Source organism: Homo sapiens, chromosome 2, assembly GCF_000001405.40.
Source record: "Homo sapiens chromosome 2, GRCh38.p14 Primary Assembly".
NCBI classification, from domain to species: Eukaryota; Metazoa; Chordata; class Mammalia; order Primates; family Hominidae; genus Homo; species Homo sapiens.
Window position 1 is genome coordinate 141226512 of NC_000002.12, and position 19487 is coordinate 141245998.

At 34.5% G+C, this 19487-nt stretch overlaps 1 protein-coding gene across 3 annotated transcripts in view; it reads right to left on the reverse strand.

Annotated features, from left to right (window-relative positions):
* The window catches only part of LRP1B (LDL receptor related protein 1B), a 1899594-nt gene that overhangs the window by 995089 nt on the left and 885018 nt on the right, over positions 1 to 19487 (reverse strand). For all 3 annotated transcript variants that reach the window (NM_018557.3, XM_017004341.2, XM_047444771.1), the window contains exon 6: positions 2672 to 2929. In NM_018557.3, the coding sequence (NP_061027.2) occupies positions 2672 to 2929 (258 nt within the window). The remainder of the gene's footprint in view (positions 1 to 2671; positions 2930 to 19487) is intronic.

Genomic DNA, 19487 nt, shown 5'->3' on the forward strand with positions numbered 1-19487 from the left:
ACTAAAATGTTTATATTTTCTCAAAAAAGCATGTTCTCTTCAGGTAAGAGAAAAGCACCTAAATATAATGGGGGTGGGAGGAACTAAAGAGAATCTCTGAAACAGTGGATAGTGACAGGTATTCAGGCTGACTTCCATCAGTTCATTATTTTTGCTTATATGGTATGACAAAGATTTTATGTAATTATAGATGCAAAGAATATTCAAACTTCATTATCATCTCACAAACTGTCATAGTGAACACAGAGCCCATCGTATTCAATGGCAGCTCTTCTGTGACATGTTGATAAAATGCATGGCTTACAAGCAATGACAGAGAAGCCCAGCCCTGCTCACACCCCTGCCCCACTCCCATCATCAAATTACTTCCACATATTTAATCACTTTTTTCTAAAGTGACTATGTAATTGCATGCTTAAACCTAACCTCATCACAAATTATTTACTCAGATTAAAATATTTCCAGTGAACTTATTTTTTATTATTCAAAATGAATATTCTATTCAGCATTTCAGTGAATTCCCTAACAACAACAACAACAACAAAATATATGTTTCTAGGTTTGCTGAATTGCTTAATAAATCAAATTTAATCTAAGTTATACTTATTTTCTACCAACAGTCAATATGCAATTGCTTAACCTTCCTTAGATTTATTTTAACAAATAGCTGTTTTTAAAACATATATTAAAGAAGAGAAGACACCATTATTAGGGCATATTAAGTGTAGATAAAAAGTTCTTAAGTACGCTCAGAAAATAATTCTACTGCGCAACTTAGTGAATATTTTAGCTATTTGACTATTCAGTATTCCATTTGCTGGGAAAAATACATTTGGATTAGTTGAGGTAATCACTAATGTAGCAAGGACTGTGGCCTTGTGTTCAGTTTCTAGCTGCTGCCTAAGCCAATGTCTGAAATACTTATATCAGAAGGCAAATAATCCTTATTACTTACATAATAAATCACATAAATTACATAATAAGGATTATCTGCCTTGTGCCATCCTTTATTATTATTTAATATGAATGACCATTTCTCCATAGAATTCTTGAAATATCCACCGCTTTCATTATAATTTTTGGTCTATTTTCACAATAAATAACTTTATCAATTGTTTCATTAAGAGGATCTTCAAAATGTTCGACAATATTTGTTAAACACTTTGTTCATTTAAGTATATAAAATTATACCTGTATGTCCTATTTTTCACAATTTGCCTTTGACTCATTTAATCTAATTACAATGATCAAACATTACATAGTATTATTTCTTTACATAAGGGTTAATACCCAGTTCATGTATATGAAAAGCTTTAATTATTGAAACGAGATCAAATATTCTAAATTTGAAAATCACATTTATTCTATCACAGCATTCTTCTTTTCCGCTTGATTGTACACATGTCTCTTCATTTCTCTTCTCTTTCTTTTTAAGACAGAGTTTTGCTCTTGTCACCCAGGTTGGAGTGCAATGTCACAATCTCGGCTCACTGGAACCTCCACCTCCTGGGTTCAAGCGATTCTTCTGGCTCAACCTCCCAAGTAGCTGGGATTAAAGGCGTGCACCAGCATGCCTGGCTAATTTTTTATTTTTGGTAGAGATGGGGTTTGGCCAGGCTGGTTTTGAACCCCTAACCTCAGATGATCCACCCACCTTGGCCTCCCAAAGTGCTGGGAGCCACCGCACCCGGCTTCTCTTAATTTTTCTACAGATTTTTATTTTAGCCGAATTTGTAAGAAACACTTTCTGTAAATCATAAATTAAATGGATGCATGTTAAAATTATCATTCTTATGGTTTCCCCAAGCATACACAAAGCAATTTTTGTACTCCCATGTGGAAGCAGGGAGAGAGAAGGAGAGAGAGAATATGTGTGCATCTCTGGGTGTGTGTGTGTATGAGTGTGTGTGTGTACTCCCATGTGGAAGCAGGGAGAGAGAAGGAGAGAGAGAATATGTGTGCATCTCTGGGTGTGTGTGTGTATGAGTGTGTGTGTGTACTCCCATGTGGAAGCAGGGAGAGAGAAGGAGAGAGAGAATATGTGTGCATCCCTGGGTGTCTGTGTGTATGAGTGTGTGTGTGTGTGTGTGTGTGTGTGTATGTGTGACAATGAGATTTCAGTTTATGGTAATATGCAGGAAGAGAAGGACAGTCTGTCAAGTTTCTGACATGAGAAGTCAGAGTGAATCACAAATCACAAGTTTTTTGGAAGAGGATGTATAAAAATTAATTTCCTTTAAAGAGAGTTAACACAGGTAGTTACTCCCCATTAGCATAAACCTAATTATTTAAGGTATTTTTAACTACAGTCAATGCACTTATAATTATCAACTCTGTCTGCTTTTTTTAAATCCCACCTTCACTATCACATTGTGAATTACCACTCAGTGGAATAAAAAAATCAATTCCCAGTCAGGTGACACTGTAAAAAGCCTTAAAGAAATAATTACAATTAACTCTGCAATTTATGACTTATTTAAATAGAGAAAGTTTATGTGTATGTGTTTGTATATGCAAAACATGTAGTGAATACAGTAATTCAAGTTCATTGTATTTGCACATACAGCTTTCCAACAGCCATGAGCTATGCTAGAAATTTGAGAATCCAGCCTACGGGTCTGTAAATGAAATCAGTAAAGGGTGGCATATAATATTTAATTGAAACACTTACTGTGGAAGGATTGAAGAATATTGATTGTCCATTCATCTGTTAATCCTCCTGCTTTTGTTATCTGGATACATTTGAGTTGATTTGAAGATTCTCTTGATTCAATCCAACAAATCATATCTTCATTATAAATAAAATCCAGAGTATGAATTTCATTTCCATTGACTGAGCTTAGAGTTGCCATTTTACTTCCATTAAGATAGAAAACCTCAATTGTTTCAAAATTTGCAATTAATAGTATAGGTGGTCTATCTGTAGGTTCTGGAATAAAATAGAAAAAGAGAAGTAAATTCAGTAAGAGTCAAGATTATTTTACAGTTTTGCCCTAGTTATTGAAAGCTATTTTCTATACTTTTAATAAATTCATAACAAAAATTTTCTTATAAAAAAACTTTCTATAAGTCATATGTATACTTCACTGTTTTAGTGTACTTCTCTGAAAAAAAAATTCTGCAGCACATTTGTATTCCTTATTTCCTTAGTCATAATGTGTTGTCTAAATGTGAGGACATGTCATTTACTTTTATTGCTAGTAAGTAAAGGAAGTGGTGTGAATTGTTTTTCTAGAAATGATGATGGATCTAGACTGACCTCTCCATACAGTTTTGCAGGTTACCCTCACGAGCAAGGTAATGTTTTTTTGAGTCGAATGTATGAGATCAGAAATAGATTCTCCGGAGCAGAAAATGCAAAGCTCATAAGCTTAAACAAAGAGTGCACCTGTGACTTTGGCCTCACTGGCTCCTTGACCAACCCCAAGAGCCAAACAATCACACATTCTTTTAGTGACTAGATAGTGATTACTGAGCCAGTTCCTTCCACATCTACTTTCTACAGTCAGGAAAACAAGATTCTAGGTATAAAATAAACTTCAATACCATTTTTTTGAACAATGCAGCTTTGCTGGTATTAGGACTGAGTTTTTGATGAACATATACAAATTTCCCAGAGTTTCAACAGCATATTTAAACGTAACAGTAAAATCTGATAGAAAATTCGTGTTGATAGAGTTTAGCTATACAATCATATTCAGAGTAACTTTTCTGCTAATTAAGAAATAGGAAATATGTGGAAATCTTTAATTCATCTGTATCTAATGCATCAATAAATCACTTTGACCATGAGGTCAAAACTATCAGACATCCTACCACTTCTCAGTAATGACTGCTACTATCCTGCCATGATCACTCATCTAGATTATTTCAAAGTTTTCTGCCTGGTTTCCCTTTTTCCATCTATGCCCTTCTCACCTTTACAATATCCCAACACAACAGCCAGAGTTATACCATTAAAATGCTAAGGCAGATAAGGTCAGTTCTTCACTCAGTCCCTCAAAGGGCTCCTATTTTAACCAGAGCAAAATTCAAAGTCCTTATAATGATCTATTAAACTCTACCTGATCTGTATATTAATTACTTCTTTAACCTCATTTCCTTCATCTCCTTACTACTCTTACTCTTGTTCGTCTCACTCCAGACACACTGCACTTCTTACTGTTCCTTGAACAAGCCAGGGAAGCTGCCACCTCAGAGGGGCTTCCCACTTCCTGGAATAATCATTTATCAATTACCAGAATGGCTTACTTGCTCACCTCTTTTAGGTCATTATGCAAATGTCATTTTACTGGTGAGGAGTCTCCTAGCACTTTATCGTCTAAAAATCTTAAGCCCCTATACTTTCTATACACCTTCATAGTTCTTTCTTATTCACCATAGTATGTTTTATATATTTTTCTGATTATTTACTTCTATCTCTAGCATCTAGAGAAAAAGCGTAGAACTTAGTGATCATTCAATACCGATTTTCTGAATAAATAAAAAGGACACATGGAATTCTCACACCAGAAGACTTTAGAAACATTTCATGAAACGCAACAAAAATAATTTATTTAACCTATGAAGGGAATTCAGAGTATGACTAGCTATTCAGAAAATTTCATAAATATCATTTGACCATTCTATAAGAAACTGAAGCTGAGCACTGTAAAGGTAGGACAAAAACCAGAGCATATACTATAACTAATGGAAGTAACTAAGTCTCAAGTTTTGAAGCAGTATTATTTAGTGGCCTTTCTTTTGTTTCTGGCATGGGCCAGGATATCAGGCACCTGTGTTTGTCTCAGATAGAAGAGCCCTCCAGTGAATATGATTTGGGGCCTCCCCTCACAGGCTTAAAACAATCCTATAATTCATGCATTGGCATTTTTATCCCCATCATGCTAGACCCCTATTAATTTCAATAGGGGTGGTGCCAGGTTCAAGAGGCCAAAGAAGAGACCCAGAGGTAGCAAAAAAAAGACACAGGGTTTTATTTAGGGAAACTTACACACAGAGATGGTCCAGTGGCTGCAGCCTGGAGAATCACTACCACTTGGGAAAAGCATGCAGCTTATATAGCACGTAGCACGTTCCCTTAGCACATTCCCCCCACCCCCACCCCTGCCCCGCCCCGCCACCCACAACCTCCACGTGGCAACCTTCCTTTCTTAAATTGTTATTGCTATCGTGTGCACCTGCCATACAAGGTATGCTTAAGTTACATTATTGTTGTCAAATGTATCTGCCATAAACCTCTCCTCCCCCAGGAAATTCTCTCAAGTCATAGGATTCCTGTCTGCCTTTAACAAGACATTAAATATTTTTTATACATAATAACAACAAAACAGTAAAACAAAAATAACCCAAAAAAGCCTCAATGAGATTATAAAACTAAGTAGCACAACAGTTTCTTCCCAATGGAGAAAATAGTCTTATCCAGGACTGCCTGAGTATAAACCCACAACAAAAATATTCTTAAAAATGCTAAGATCATTTCCACAAAAACAAAGTCCTCTCAGAAGCATCAGTAGAATTGTGAATCATCTCTGCTTAACATAACCTTGTCAATTGACCACATCTGAGCCTGGTTAGCTAGTCAGTTTCTCTCCTAACCTCTTAAATCTATCTTTAACTGTGTTTCACTTGCCCTTGTCATTCCTTAATTTGGGGATCTAGATTTAGTCTCCCCTCTACTCCTACTTTTGTCATTTTACTGTTGACCTTGGCACTCTTGAAACCTGTTGGATCATAGATTTCTCAGGTGATAGTAAAATCTTAGATGGGTGTGTTATCAGGTAAACAAAGATAGACTGACAATGTCAGTCCTTAGTGTCTTCATTTGACAACTGAAATGACCTTTAGTGAAACTACTTTCACTCAAAATGACCCACTATTGAAAGCATCCTTGCTGCAAAGTTTTATGCAAAGTCCAGATTTAGACAGCCATTTTTTGGCTAGCTACTAGTCAGTAAACTTAATGTAGGGCATAAACATTCTTTGAAGAGAGGCCGGAATATAAAGGAGCGCTGAGATTCCCCTGAGAAACTGAGATGCAAATGGGTTCATGGTTAACACAGGCAATGCTTATTTGACAGAATTAGTCAACTTACTTGGTTTTTGTAGCTGCTTGATGAGTGAATCAGTTAATTGTTTTAGTGAAAAACATATCGACCACTAATTCTAAAGTCAGGTGCTTCATAATCTAACAGGGTTTGATTTAATAATGGTGACTTCAAAAGATCAAAGGACATACTGGAGGAAGGATACCTACATAAGTTGTGAATGCTTTACTGAAGTAATCTTCATGGGTCTCTGCTAATTACTAACTGTGGTTTACCTCTTTAGACAGAAGGTCAAATATGGAGGAAGGAAGCCACTGAAACACGAGAAACCACAAAAATCCTCAAGGTCTAAGGATCCAATTCTTTCAGTGTATTTCAAGTTGAAACTGGCATAGCCCTGGCAAAAATGTAATCTATCTCTACCTGCACCACATCTAATGTCTGTTGTGCATCGTTACCACATGCCAATTGAAGAGCACCAGCTTGGGTAAGGTGGATATAAGACTGACCAGAATAAATGTGATGATCTTATTGGTTGTCATCCTTAGTCAATGGACAGTTTTCCCAAAAGAACACTTGAAAAGCACATTAGATGACTTCAGTCAAAGGGATACCTGTGTCAACACTTAGTGAGAGGTAATGAACATTAACCTTCCACATAGAAGATACTGAAGCACAAACAAGCACACAGGTGACATTTTAACTTAGAGAACCAAGACTTTGGTTGGGTAAACACCTACAGCAGGCTGTCAACTGATTCATGATAGAAGAGAAAAATTGTCCTCATACTCCTCACCACTCCTTGTATGTTGACAGACCTAAAAACATTTCTCTCTCCTGTGATGGAGAATAGTATTTGTGCTCTGTATGATCATAAATGATTTGATTTTTCCTGTAATGTATGTTGTATTCATTAGTGTCACAACCTTTGAAGACTGATTCTAAAATTGTGAATTGAAAAGAGAAACTTGGAAAGGCTTATTTGACCAGGTTCATAAAAATACCTATTTAAATTCAAAGCCACCATAACTGTGTCCTTGCAAGCCTATCTTTATCTTCTCACAGTCAAAAATATACTAAAAGTGGATTTATTTACTTATAATAATATGATTTTGATATATATGTTGTGCTAAATAAATGTTTTCAGGGTGTATAAAAACTTGTCATTTTTAAGGTTTCATTTAAACCTCCAGTTCTTGTATTCAATTATAAGAATATTAATTTGGCTAGTTTCCTTCTAAGTGATTGAAGTAATGAATTCATATACTTACAAATAATTATGTAACTAACAAACATATGTATATAATAAATGTATATATATATGTATATCATCTAGTTGTTCTATATTCTAATTTTCCTTAATTAAACCTGTAATTGTATTTGTAAGCAATTATCTCCACTAAATGAAGCTCCCAGCATGTGCACATCAATATTTCTGAAGTCATAGATGAAAAAAATCCCAGTTTTAACTGCATAAAACGTTGAATAATGACTTGCATATAAAGTACATAAAATGGAGAGTCAGACTAATATGGTGATAAAACAGAAAGTTGTAATCTATACAACACAAAGAATCGGTTTTAAGCCAGTAATGAACTTCAAAGATTGAAAGAGGTTTTTTTTTCAGATTTACTCTTATTTTATCATATACAAATTATATAAAGGCTGTAAAAATAAGGAAAATGGGTTTGCAGTTAGAAATGAGAAGACTAAGAACTTCTAATCAAAATTGTTAACACTTATGTAAGAAGTGAATTACTAATATATGAAACAAAATGCATGAAATCTGTAAAAGGGCAATTATTTATTTTTTATTTTTTATTTTTTTATTTTTTTGAGACAGAGTCTTGCTCTGTCATACAGGCTAGAGTGCAGTGGCGTGACCTCAGCTCACTGCAACTTCTGCCTCCTGGGCTCAAGCGATTCTCCTGCTTCAGTCTCCTGAGTAGCTGGGACTACACACTTGCACCACCATGCCCGATTAATTTTTGTATTTTTAGTAGAGACTGGGTTTCACCATGTTGGCCAGGCTGGTCTTGAACTCCTGACCTCAGGTGATCTGCCCGCCTCGGCCTCCTCAAGTGCTGGGATTACAGGCATGAGCCACTGTACTCAGCCAAAAGGGCTAATTTTCTAAAAAACTTCTAAAATGATGCAAAAAACAGAAAAAGTTAAATATGTAATATTAACAGAAAATTATGTAGTTTAAAAAGGAGAGATACAGAATCATGGTGTGGAGAAAAAATAAAAAAGAAAGAGAAAGTATTACAGTATTCAAATATATAATAAATTGTAGATGAAAGTCAACCAAACCAAACTGAAAATGTGAATCAAGTTAATATCATATAAGTGAAAAAAATATAGCATTGAAATATTTTCTTTTTCAAAACATAATGGTCACATTGATTTCTCCCTGTTTTCATTCCTTAACTATTTTTTAACAAAAAAGCTCTTTACCAAAATGAATAATATTCAGAATAATGACATACTGTCATATATCAGAAGAAACTGTTCTATCACATTTTATTATAGAAATAATATATAAATCAAATTAGGAAAACGAAAAGGCATTAAAAACTGTATTGGACTGAGCAAGAAAATGAATATTGCTACAATTTATCTTAGCACTACCTTTTATCATCAATCACAATATATTTATGCTGAAGTATTCTTTGGGTAAATATTTTAATTAATTAATTAATTTATCTAGTATTTATACATCTAAGCATTAACTGGGATCTGAAAGAGATCAGTAAGACAGTCCGCCTTCAAGAACGATACAATCAAGTAGAAAGTTTAAGTTATCTACAAAGAACTATGTTTTTATAATCAGGTATGATATCTTTCATAAAAGACGTATCATCTCATTGAGTTTCAAAGAATGGTTAGATATGTCTGCTTAGTGGAGGCACAAGTTTCCTGATGGTGTTGGTATTCGGTCTCAGCCTTGCCTTAATGGAAGAACAAGAATTCAATATGCAGAGATGGATAAAAGAAAGTCAAGCAAAAGAAACAGCTTTGACAAAAGTACAGATGTGTGAAAGATTTGAATATATTGAGGAGAGATTGACCTCAGTTTTTCAGTTTTCTGCAGGGTACAACACGCATAACTGGTGGAGTATTTCACTAATAATAGTTAATGTTTTCCGAGCATATTTTAGGAGCCAGACACTGTAATACATGGTTCACATTTATTAGTTCACTGTATATGCAGAACATCCCTTTGATTCGGCTAATATTTACCACATTTTAAGATTAATACTCACTTAAGTTAATATAGCTATTAAGTGAAAATAACTGAGTTCAAATTTATAGAGTTTTGTAGTAGCTGACAAAACAGGTTAAGGACAAATTGTACAGGCTATTGAATGTCAAGATGATGAACTTATTTTTAATTTTGGCTGCAATGGGAAGCCAGTGTTAATTTTAGAAATACAGTATAATGTGATCAAAACTATGCTTTAAGAAGATCAAGTCAAAAATAATATGTAAGATATTGTGTGGGTGGGTAAAATATAGTGAGAAAGATAAGTAGAATACAGTAGGAAGTATAAATTTCCCACTCAACTTTCCAGATTTTATGTTTTTGCTTTTATTTGGGGGGATTATTTATTTAAATTGACATAAATTGATATGTCTTTATAGTGCACAACATGATGTTTTGAAGTATACATACATTGTGGAATAGTTAAACCTAGGTAATTGACATATGCATTACCTCACATAGTTACCATTTTTGTAGTGGGAACATTTAATATCCCTTCTCTTAGCATTATGTTAAGTGAAATAAGCCAGTCATAGAAAGACAAGTAAACATATCTCACTCATGTAGAATCTAAAAGAGATGATCTCATAGAAATAGAGAGTAGAATGTTTGTTGCCAGAAGCTAAGGCATTTGGGGGATCAGGTTGGGGAGATGTTAGACAAAGTATGCAAAATCACAGGCAGGAGTAATTAGTTAAATAGATCTGTTTTCCAGCATGGTAACTATAGTTAATGATAACATGTTGGATTATTTAAAAATGTTCTTGCTTTTACTTTATAAATGGTAGAGTATAATTTTACTTTTTAGTTGGTAGAGTATAATTCATGTCAGAAGTATAATTCATGTGTACGTTGAGGTAAAATGGAAACGTCTTACACACTGCCTTCAAATCTAGAGTAAAGTTGGAAAGGAGTTAAGAGAATGGAAAAGATACCTTTTTCCTGTTTAGATTCACGCAGTGCAGAAATGAAGAATGGCCATATGTGGCAATGTTCTTACTGGAAGCAGAGGTCATTGGGAAAAATGTAAGCCCCAGATAATTCTCAGAGATTTCCCTAAGAAAACCTCTTCTATGGTCCTCCAAACTAGATTCTACATGTCACATAGAGAATGGCATTAATTTCATTTGTTTTTATGAAGAAAGTAACCCAAAATTATGAAAAACTTGTGGACACAGGTATCAGATATCTGAATTACTGAACACAGAAATGCCATTTTAATTTCTCAGAAACAAGGTGATAAGAACCTAAAGTAGGAGGTGTTGAAATCTTAAGTAGAAATGGGTTGATGTAATAAAGCAGAAGTTCAAAATTGCAGTTATTGTTGTATTGTGGACAACGAGTGACATGAAGTCAAGGATTATTTGGAAATTGTAGATGTGGGTCATGGGGATAAAGGGTATCATTAAAAGAAACAGTAAGAGAAGAAAGTAGAATCAGTTTTTAGAGAAGATGATGATTTCAGTGTTGGCACATTAGTCCAATGGCTAAAGCTGTGTTTTTTATCTTGTTTTGTTTTGTGTTCTAGTGTTTTTTTTTTTTTTTTTTAATTCTGATTTCTATATAGAGACGGGGTCTCACTATGTTACCCAGGCTGGTCTCAAACTCCTGGTCTCAAGCAATCCTCCTTCCTTGGCCTCCCAAAGTGCCAGGACTATAGGCATGAGCCACTGTGCCAAACCTGTGCTTTTTAATCTTATCTTTGGCATTGTAAAAACTCACTCAGGTAAACTACTGATAAACCTGAATTAAGCATAAACCTTAAAATAATTTAGTCACTTTGCTATTTAGACTTTACTAGTGAAATACCGGTACCTTCATTCACAGCATATTTCAACTTGAAATGTGATAATTGAGAAGCAATTCAGTATATTGTTTTTCTGGAAGAAGATCCATTTTATAAGCACGACAAAAGACAATAACATCATGCCCTCCCCAGCACAAACATATCTTTTCATTTTGCAAACTGGCGGCTCTCACAATTTCCCTGTTTTGCAGAGAGCTGGTCCAACCAAACCAAGGAGGCATTTCCCCTGTTATCTGAAAGCCTTACTTAGCACGTGGCAAGTGTTTAGTACATGAATGAAATATGGGGGACTGTTTGAATATGAACTCCTCAATGTTTTTTAAAGAGACTTTACTGAATTAACACATTGTAAAATAATAAGGTATTTCAATAAGTACAATGAAATAAATAATGCAGTTATTTTAATCAGAAAAAATGAAAGATATGTAATTGATAACCATTGAAGATTTATAAGTAAATCACAAAATTTCAGAATATAATTCATTCAAATTTTAGATTATTACATGATTATTAGAACTAGCAGACAGTCCAGTGATGGTCAGTTTATATTAGTTACTGAGAAGTGGCTAATGGCTGCTTTAAAAATCTCCTAGTGACCTTTCTAATTGTAGCCAGTGGAAAATACTTTAGCTACAGAAAAATATTTTCTCTACTCAGACATCTTTCTCTATGTTATAGATTAGTAATATTTGAGTTTAAAATGTAATGGGTATTGACTCATTTGAAAATTGCTTCTAAGTAACTCCTATTTATAAAGTAATTTCAGTTTGAAAACACGGGTCCTTAGAAGAGCCACATTTAATATGGCTCCTAAAAGGGAAATACTGCCTCAGTATTTGAATATTTATTATCCATTCAACAAATACTTATTGAGCCTGGCTAGCTTCTGCCAGGGTCTAGATGCTAGCAATACAACAGTGAACAAAACTAACAAAATCTTTGCTTTTATAGAACTTAAATTTTAGTACATAAAAAAGATAATAAGCAAGTAAACAAATATGAATATTGTTTGGCAGTGATAAATTCTATGAAAGTGAGTAACGTATAGGAGTAATGAGGATGAGGGCTTATCTTTAGAGAGAGTAATCTAATTCAGAATGTATTTACAAAGTTATAAACAAAGGGTTTGAGAAAAAGAGTGCAGTGAAGGATGAATCCAATGTTTTGGCTTAAACAATTAGGTGAATTTGGAAACCTTGCCAAGATGGAAAACTGAAGAAAGAGCATTATTAAGATAGAAAATCAAAAGTTCATAGAGTTTGATATTTCTGTTAAATATCCAAATGGAGATATTGAATATATAATTGGATCTGTGAGTCTAGAGCCGTCATAACTGGTGATAAAAACTGGGGAGTCTCAGTCTCTTTATATTTTTTAATGCCATGGCAGAGGGTAAGTTTTTAAGGCCATGATACAGGATGAAACATCCTAGGAAATCAATAAAAAGATGTCTAAAGGACTGAACGCTGAATCATGCCAAAAGTATTGGCAAAATGAAGATAATAAAGCAAAGTAAACTGAGAAAAAATGCCCAGTAAGGCAAGAGCAAAATTTCAAGATTGTGCTGCTTTAAAAGGTAAAGCCTTCAAGGAGACAGTTGTCAGTTGTGTGCTTAAGACCGATAGTCAACTAATTAGGCAATGGGAGGTCACTGAAGCCCTTGGCAATAGATGTGACTGATAAGAATAATGTAAGATTCATTGAAGGCGATTAAAGAGCAGAGCAAAGGAAAGTGGAAAAGGAACAACACTCTGAGTTTTTCTATGCAGGAAAAAGAAAAATGGAGAAGTAGCTGGACAGGAAAATAGGTTTAAAGGAAGTTGTTTTGCATCATCTTTACAACTTGCTTGTATGCTGATGTGAATGACCTAAGAGAAAAGAAAATACCAGTGATTAAAGAAATAAAGAAGACAATTATATGAGTCTAATCCTCGAACAGGTGAGAGAAGATAGGATCTGTATATATTTGCAGGATTGGCCTTTGATAGGAGAAAAGTTAGTTTTCTAATTCAAATAAGAGGAAGATGGAGCGATTAGTTCTAGATTCAAATAGACTAGTAGAGGTAATGGAGTTTGGGTGAGAAAATTCTCTTTTAATTGCTTCTATTTTCTCAAGGAAATATGAAATAAGATCGTCACCTCACAATAAGGAGAAGGGAGGTAGATATATGAAACTCATTATCTAGTGATGGGAAAAAGTAAAGGTCATTTAATATATTTCACTGTTGTCTGACAAGGATTTAAATATAAAATTTATAAGTAAGATCACAAATTTCTACTTTGCTATTATAAAGAGAGATTAAGTACTCTAAGTACTCAATCATTCTGATGTATCAAACTTCTAGCTACTTTATCAGCTATGTTCTTTGTAACTTGATGTTCTAAATATCCAAAGAGTACTAAGATATAATTTAATAATTTGGTGGGGATTATCTTTTGTGGGAGTCATCGACAGAGGCTGTGTGAGTCCTAAAAGAAATACACACATTTAAAAATGAAATCAATGCAACAGGTTTTCTCTTCTCAAGACTAAAATGATTTTAGGCATCCTGATTAGGGGAAATATGTGGAATATTAGTTATCTCTGTCAAAGGCAATTATGCTCTCCAGGGGAAGGAGTGCCCAAAGGGCATTCTCTAACTGCTTTTATTACCCCAGATTTTTTTTTCAGTCCCTGTTGATTGCAATTGATACAGAGGATGCCTTGAAGTCTCTGAAAAATCAATTTTTTTTTCTTAAAAAATGTCAAAATTATTCTGTCTACTCGGATTTTAAGGTTTTTTCCCTCCGAGGATTTCAATAGTGATATACTTTTATATTTTTCCCAGGTAAAGCAACAGAAAAATTATATACCTATGTACATTCTTGCCTCATCTATTTAACCATTTGTAATTTTTATAAATTTAAATGTGCTCCCTTTCTTTTTATTTTCATTAAAATATCCAATTTTAAGATAGAAAAAGAGTTAATTGTAGAGGGTGATATAATTTCTCTCACATTCTAAATTGAGGATTTAATCAATAATTTGATAGCTAGTCTACACAAAGTTATTAAAAAAACATGATAGAAATTTCTGCCTATCTGTTGTGCCATTTATAAAAGCAAAGTTTATTGACTGTCACACCTAGAGCCCATAAATATGGCCACGTAATTTTTCATACTCAAACACGGAAGTTCTCAGCCAGATTGCAATAAAAATATGTTATGAAGAAAATGGAAGACATGCTTTTTTTCCATGTCTCATATTTTCTTAGACTAAGGGTAAATGAAAGGTGTCATGACACATAAAACACCATGGTTATGTCTCTGCTATCAATCTTGCAACTCTGTTTCTGGAAAGAAGATTAAAAATGTCAAAAACGGTGCTAGACTGTGAAGATGATATCCCCTAGCATAAAAACAAAAACCAAAACCAACATAGAATATTCATGAGGAGATTTTGTACCCCAGCACTGACATACTCATTAACAGTGTTTGGAGAGGGAAAAAAAGTGTGTTGTATCATTTGGATAGTAAAAATTCCATCAGAAATCCTTGCCCTGTCCTGCCATGAAATGTGATTTCTAACTGAATGATTGGCCAGAAAAGATGTAGAGTAAAAATACTCCATAAAATAAAGAAATATTTTAATGGCCAGGCTACCGGTCCGGGATTCCAAAGGCAGGCTGGGAAGCTTTAGAATTTCTGTAGTACAGAGGCTTATTCAGTATAGTGTGATTGCAGATAGGGAAGCTTGTTCTCCAGCTGTATTTTCACAGCAAGCACACAGCTTTTACTAGGATTGTATGTTTATTTGAGAGGGGAGTGGTCCTTGGTGGAGAGGACACACTTATGTAGATCATACAGTGCTTCTCAAACTACTGTTTGATGCCAATACTATACCAAAGCTAGAGTCAGCCCGGAGTAACAGGACAAAACTGGCCAAATATTCTATTCACCTTTGAATCTCTTGCAGTCTTCTGACTCCTTTTATTGATCCCCAACATCCCAGTACCCTCATTTCGCTTCCTGAATGTTCTAGAAATTGCTAAAGCATCCGGCAAACATTTGTCAAGCACATACTCTGCTTCAGGCATTGAGCTACTTTTTTGCTACTTTCTCTTTACCACAGTGTTCCTAATTTCATGCACGCATACGTGATAGTAAAGCACAATAAATCTGTCATTACTATGCTGGTGCTGGTGACTAGGCTCACTCCTAGCCAATAGGTCTCACGCACTATCATGTCATCAAGTGCTATTTGAAGTTACGGCTCAATGAAATAATAACTTATGCAGGAATTAGAATTTTTGACTATCTAAAAAATAATGTAAAAAAAAAAACCCTAAATGGTGAATCTTCATACATCAGTCATTCTACAAGAAGCCATTCTTAGCCACTGGTATACTGAAACAGATCTTATCCACTAGTCTCATAAGTTGTTAAAATTATTAAGACTTAATATGTTACCCTTCCTAAGAATAGATCTTAATATGAGATGCTTTAATAAAAGGCCAGGGAATAGTATTTTAATAGCTGAATTTCAGGCATTACTCAGTGGCTGATAAGAAGGTGATACTATGTGGCAGAGAATTCTTCCCCCACTACACAGACACCTGCCAATTCTCCCACAGGCAGAATCAGCCCTAGCAGCAAACCATGGGTAAATTCTCCGCCTCCCAAAAGAAAATTTTAAACTTATGTTAGTAGATGTTAAATCCCCCTAGAGTTTTAAAGTAAGAGCCATAGGAAGTTACATTTTGTTTATTTTTTTCTCTCTCTCTCTTTTCAAGAATCATAGCAGAGGAAACAGCAAATGATATGAAAACGTTCCCTGACCCCAACACTGTCTAGAAACATGCTTCCTTCAATTATACAGGGACTACAATTCCTGTTCTTACAACTAAGAGTCTCATTGCCTCAATAGTCTTCTGTTTGTTTTTTTCTCTAAATCAATGAACTGCAAATATAAGCTGTAATAGAATCCTGAAGTTTTTTAATAGGCTCTCTACTCTCACTGCTCCAATTACTCCGCGGCAAAGAGGTACACTCTCAAAGGGCACCATTCGATGCACTGACAATAGAGTGATGATCATAAAATTAGTGTTTTTTATTTTACTATTGCTTCAGTGCAATCAGTAGAGCCCTAGGGGTTCAGGAGAATTTGTATGCTGGGATAAGTGCCTGCCTTCAGTGAGTGGTTAGGACACTGAAAAGTACAGTCCAATGAGTCTGAATTTATTAGGAGTAAAATTGCCAACAATTTGTAAGTTAAACACCATTGACTATTATTTTTACTGTCACAAGTTCTACATGAGCCTGCTTTCAGCCCCAAGTTTTCACATTCAATACATATTTTTATATCAAATTCAATAAAATCAATTAAAAGAAAGTCAAATTTTAAAAATGTTTTTATTTTCATATTTGACAAGTCATTACTACAACTCTACTCTCAAAAAATATATCAAAATGTGCAAGAAGTTTTACTGGGTACCTATACATGGTTATTTTTTATTTTTATTTATTATTATTTTTATTTTTTTTTTCATATGACAAGTTCTAACATTTAATTAGAAAAATAGCTAGCTTTTGTGTAGGTGTCGTGGCTCACATATGTGATCTCAGCACTTTGGTAGGGTATGGCAGGAGGATTGTTTGAGGCCAGGAGTTCAAGACCAGCCTGGGCAACAGAGAGAGATCCTGTGTGTACAAAAAATTTTTAAATTAGCTGGGCATGGTGGTTCGTGCCTGTGGTCTCAGATACTCAAAGGCTGAGGTAGAAAAATGGCTTAAGCCTAGAAGTTTGCGGCTGCAGTGAGCTATGATCATGCTACTGTACTCCAGCCTGAGCAATAGTGTGAGACTACATCTCTTAAAGAAAATAAATAAATAAATAAACATTAATTACTAGCTTTTAATGTGTGTTCTATCATAAAGTAACAAATGCTCTCATAAAAATTTGTAGTCTTGTATGTCTCCTATAAAAAACTATTCAACTATGCATACTTAAATTAAAATTACTTTAAAAAATATGTTTCAGACTTTTCTTTTGGAAATTACTTTTTTGAAGATAAAAAACACATAGTATCAAGTATTAAATTGCACTAGATTACCATTGAAGTTCCTCCCAACTCTGAAACAATGTATTCTTTATTTCATTAGTCAGAGACAATCTTACTAAGCGTAGAAAGGAGAAAATTTGTCTGCATTACATGAATTAATAGGAATGAAAAGGCCTCCTGTCTAACATTAATCTCTTCCCCCATCTGCTGTAGTGTCTAAAATCTCCTCCCTTCAATACAATTATTTCTTAAAGATGCTCTTAAGGCTTATGAATTTTACTCGGGTTCAGGTATTATATTACAAAGGAGGAATAATCAATTAACTTAGATTAATTTACCTAATTGCTATCTATTGTCTTGAAAATAAGACCCCACTGGCAAGCTTTGGGGTGAATAGTAGGGAAGAGATCATGATACTGTTCTATGTTGCACTAGTTCAGCACCTTTAGAGGCAGCTTCCCAGCTGATTAACTCTGCCTCTCTCTGCCGTCACATAAAGGGCTATTTCTCAGGAACTTTTAATTCATCTATCATCTTGTACTGTCTTTGCAAAATCATATTCTTGGTCTAGTTCTAGCTTTCCATTGCATCACTTTGGCTTGATATTTTTATAGTATCCTTTCTTTCTAAAGCCTGGAGATCTTTTCCACATATCCATTGTCTTGGGCTAGGCCATTCGGGCCTTCCCTTGTTTTCCACACTACCCAGCTGCTGAGAGCCCTGGAACTCTGGCTTGTCGTGGAGGGAAAGTTAGGTTCTGGAGTCCAGTAGGGTAGAATTGTAAGGAAAAGAAGAGAAAAGAGAGGCCAATCTCAGCAGCCAGGCAACTGAAAGAAGGACTGGCAGAGACTTAAGATGAACCTGGCTCAATTTATAATGCTTGTTTCTAGCACTTGTCAGATATAGCCACATTACTGTATAACAAAACTACCTTAAAAATTTTAAACCTGATTGCACTAACTGGAATTACATATAACTGAAGCCAAAAGTATCCTCTGGTTCACTTCCCATAAATATGAGAAAACTAAAGCTAAACAGGCAGTTTTTCTCTTAAATTGTACAAATACATTGGTTCAAATATCCATGTGACCTTTAGAACTTGCCAGTGTTTGTTATAGACTTATGCTCATTCTAGCAACTCATTTTCCTTAAACTATAAACCACAACAACATTCCCATGGTAACTGCATATTTTTCAAATTTTGTAAGCTCACAATGTCATCAAGCAAAAGACCTAGAGGTGAAGAGATTTATGTATTCCATTATCAATTCTAGAGTCATCAAACTTCCTTGATGTAGTAGGACATTATCATGTTCCATCTTTTTCTGGTTGCATTCTATTATTGTAAGATAACCTACCTATGTAGAAAAAGAGGACGTGCTTCCTTTATAGGGTCTATTAGATTACACTCTCTGTGTAGCACTAGTGTGTGGCTCAATAGAAACAGCAAATAACAAGCCTTCCACTTCTATAGTTCATCAATATTTTACATCAGAACTCTGAGTGGTGGCAAAAAGGAAAACATAACCTGACCTAATTTTTCTCAAGGATTGCCTTATTTCAAATAGGACTTCATAAATCAAGTCAGTAATTCAAAGAAGTAAACTAAGAAGTAAAAGAGTGTTTAGCTGTTGTTGATATTTTGTAGATACATATGTTTTCTAAATAATTAACCACACTATCTCTGGGAAATCATTGAAATCATAACATGAGGTCATGTGTAAAGAGAAACAACTGAAGCTTGCTTAGCTAGTCTAGTCTTTTGCCCAGTGTGGTTTCAGAGAAGAAATTTCATGCTTAATTTACCACTTTCTCATAAGGGAGGGTGAGGGCACCCATTAATTCATCAATACATCATAATTTGAAAATGCCTGATATGAAACTACCTTTGGAGGAAGTTAGAAGAAGCCAGATGGAATATTCTGTATAGTATTTCCTTATGTTATTTTCAAGCTAATTCACTCCACAAAATAATTAGCATTATCTTATTGTGACTAGTGAATCTCAAAGCTATTTCATTAGCCAATCAACAATACTTACTGATTGTTTTCTTACTCAGTAGGCTGAAAACTGTGTAGAAACTACAGGGTTTATTTGCAGGTTAGCAGTAAAAGGCAGTTTTGAAACATGAAATGCAAGCACTTAAGAGTGGAGCACTCATTTTAGTAATTTTAATTAGCAAGACAAGTTTATTCTCTCTTTCCTTTTCCTTTTTTCCATCCTGCCCTCCTTTCTTCCTTCTTCCTCTTTTTTCCACAAATATTTATTGAGAACCTATATGTTCTAGGCAATGATCAGTACTGAGTAAATAACAGTAAACAAATCCA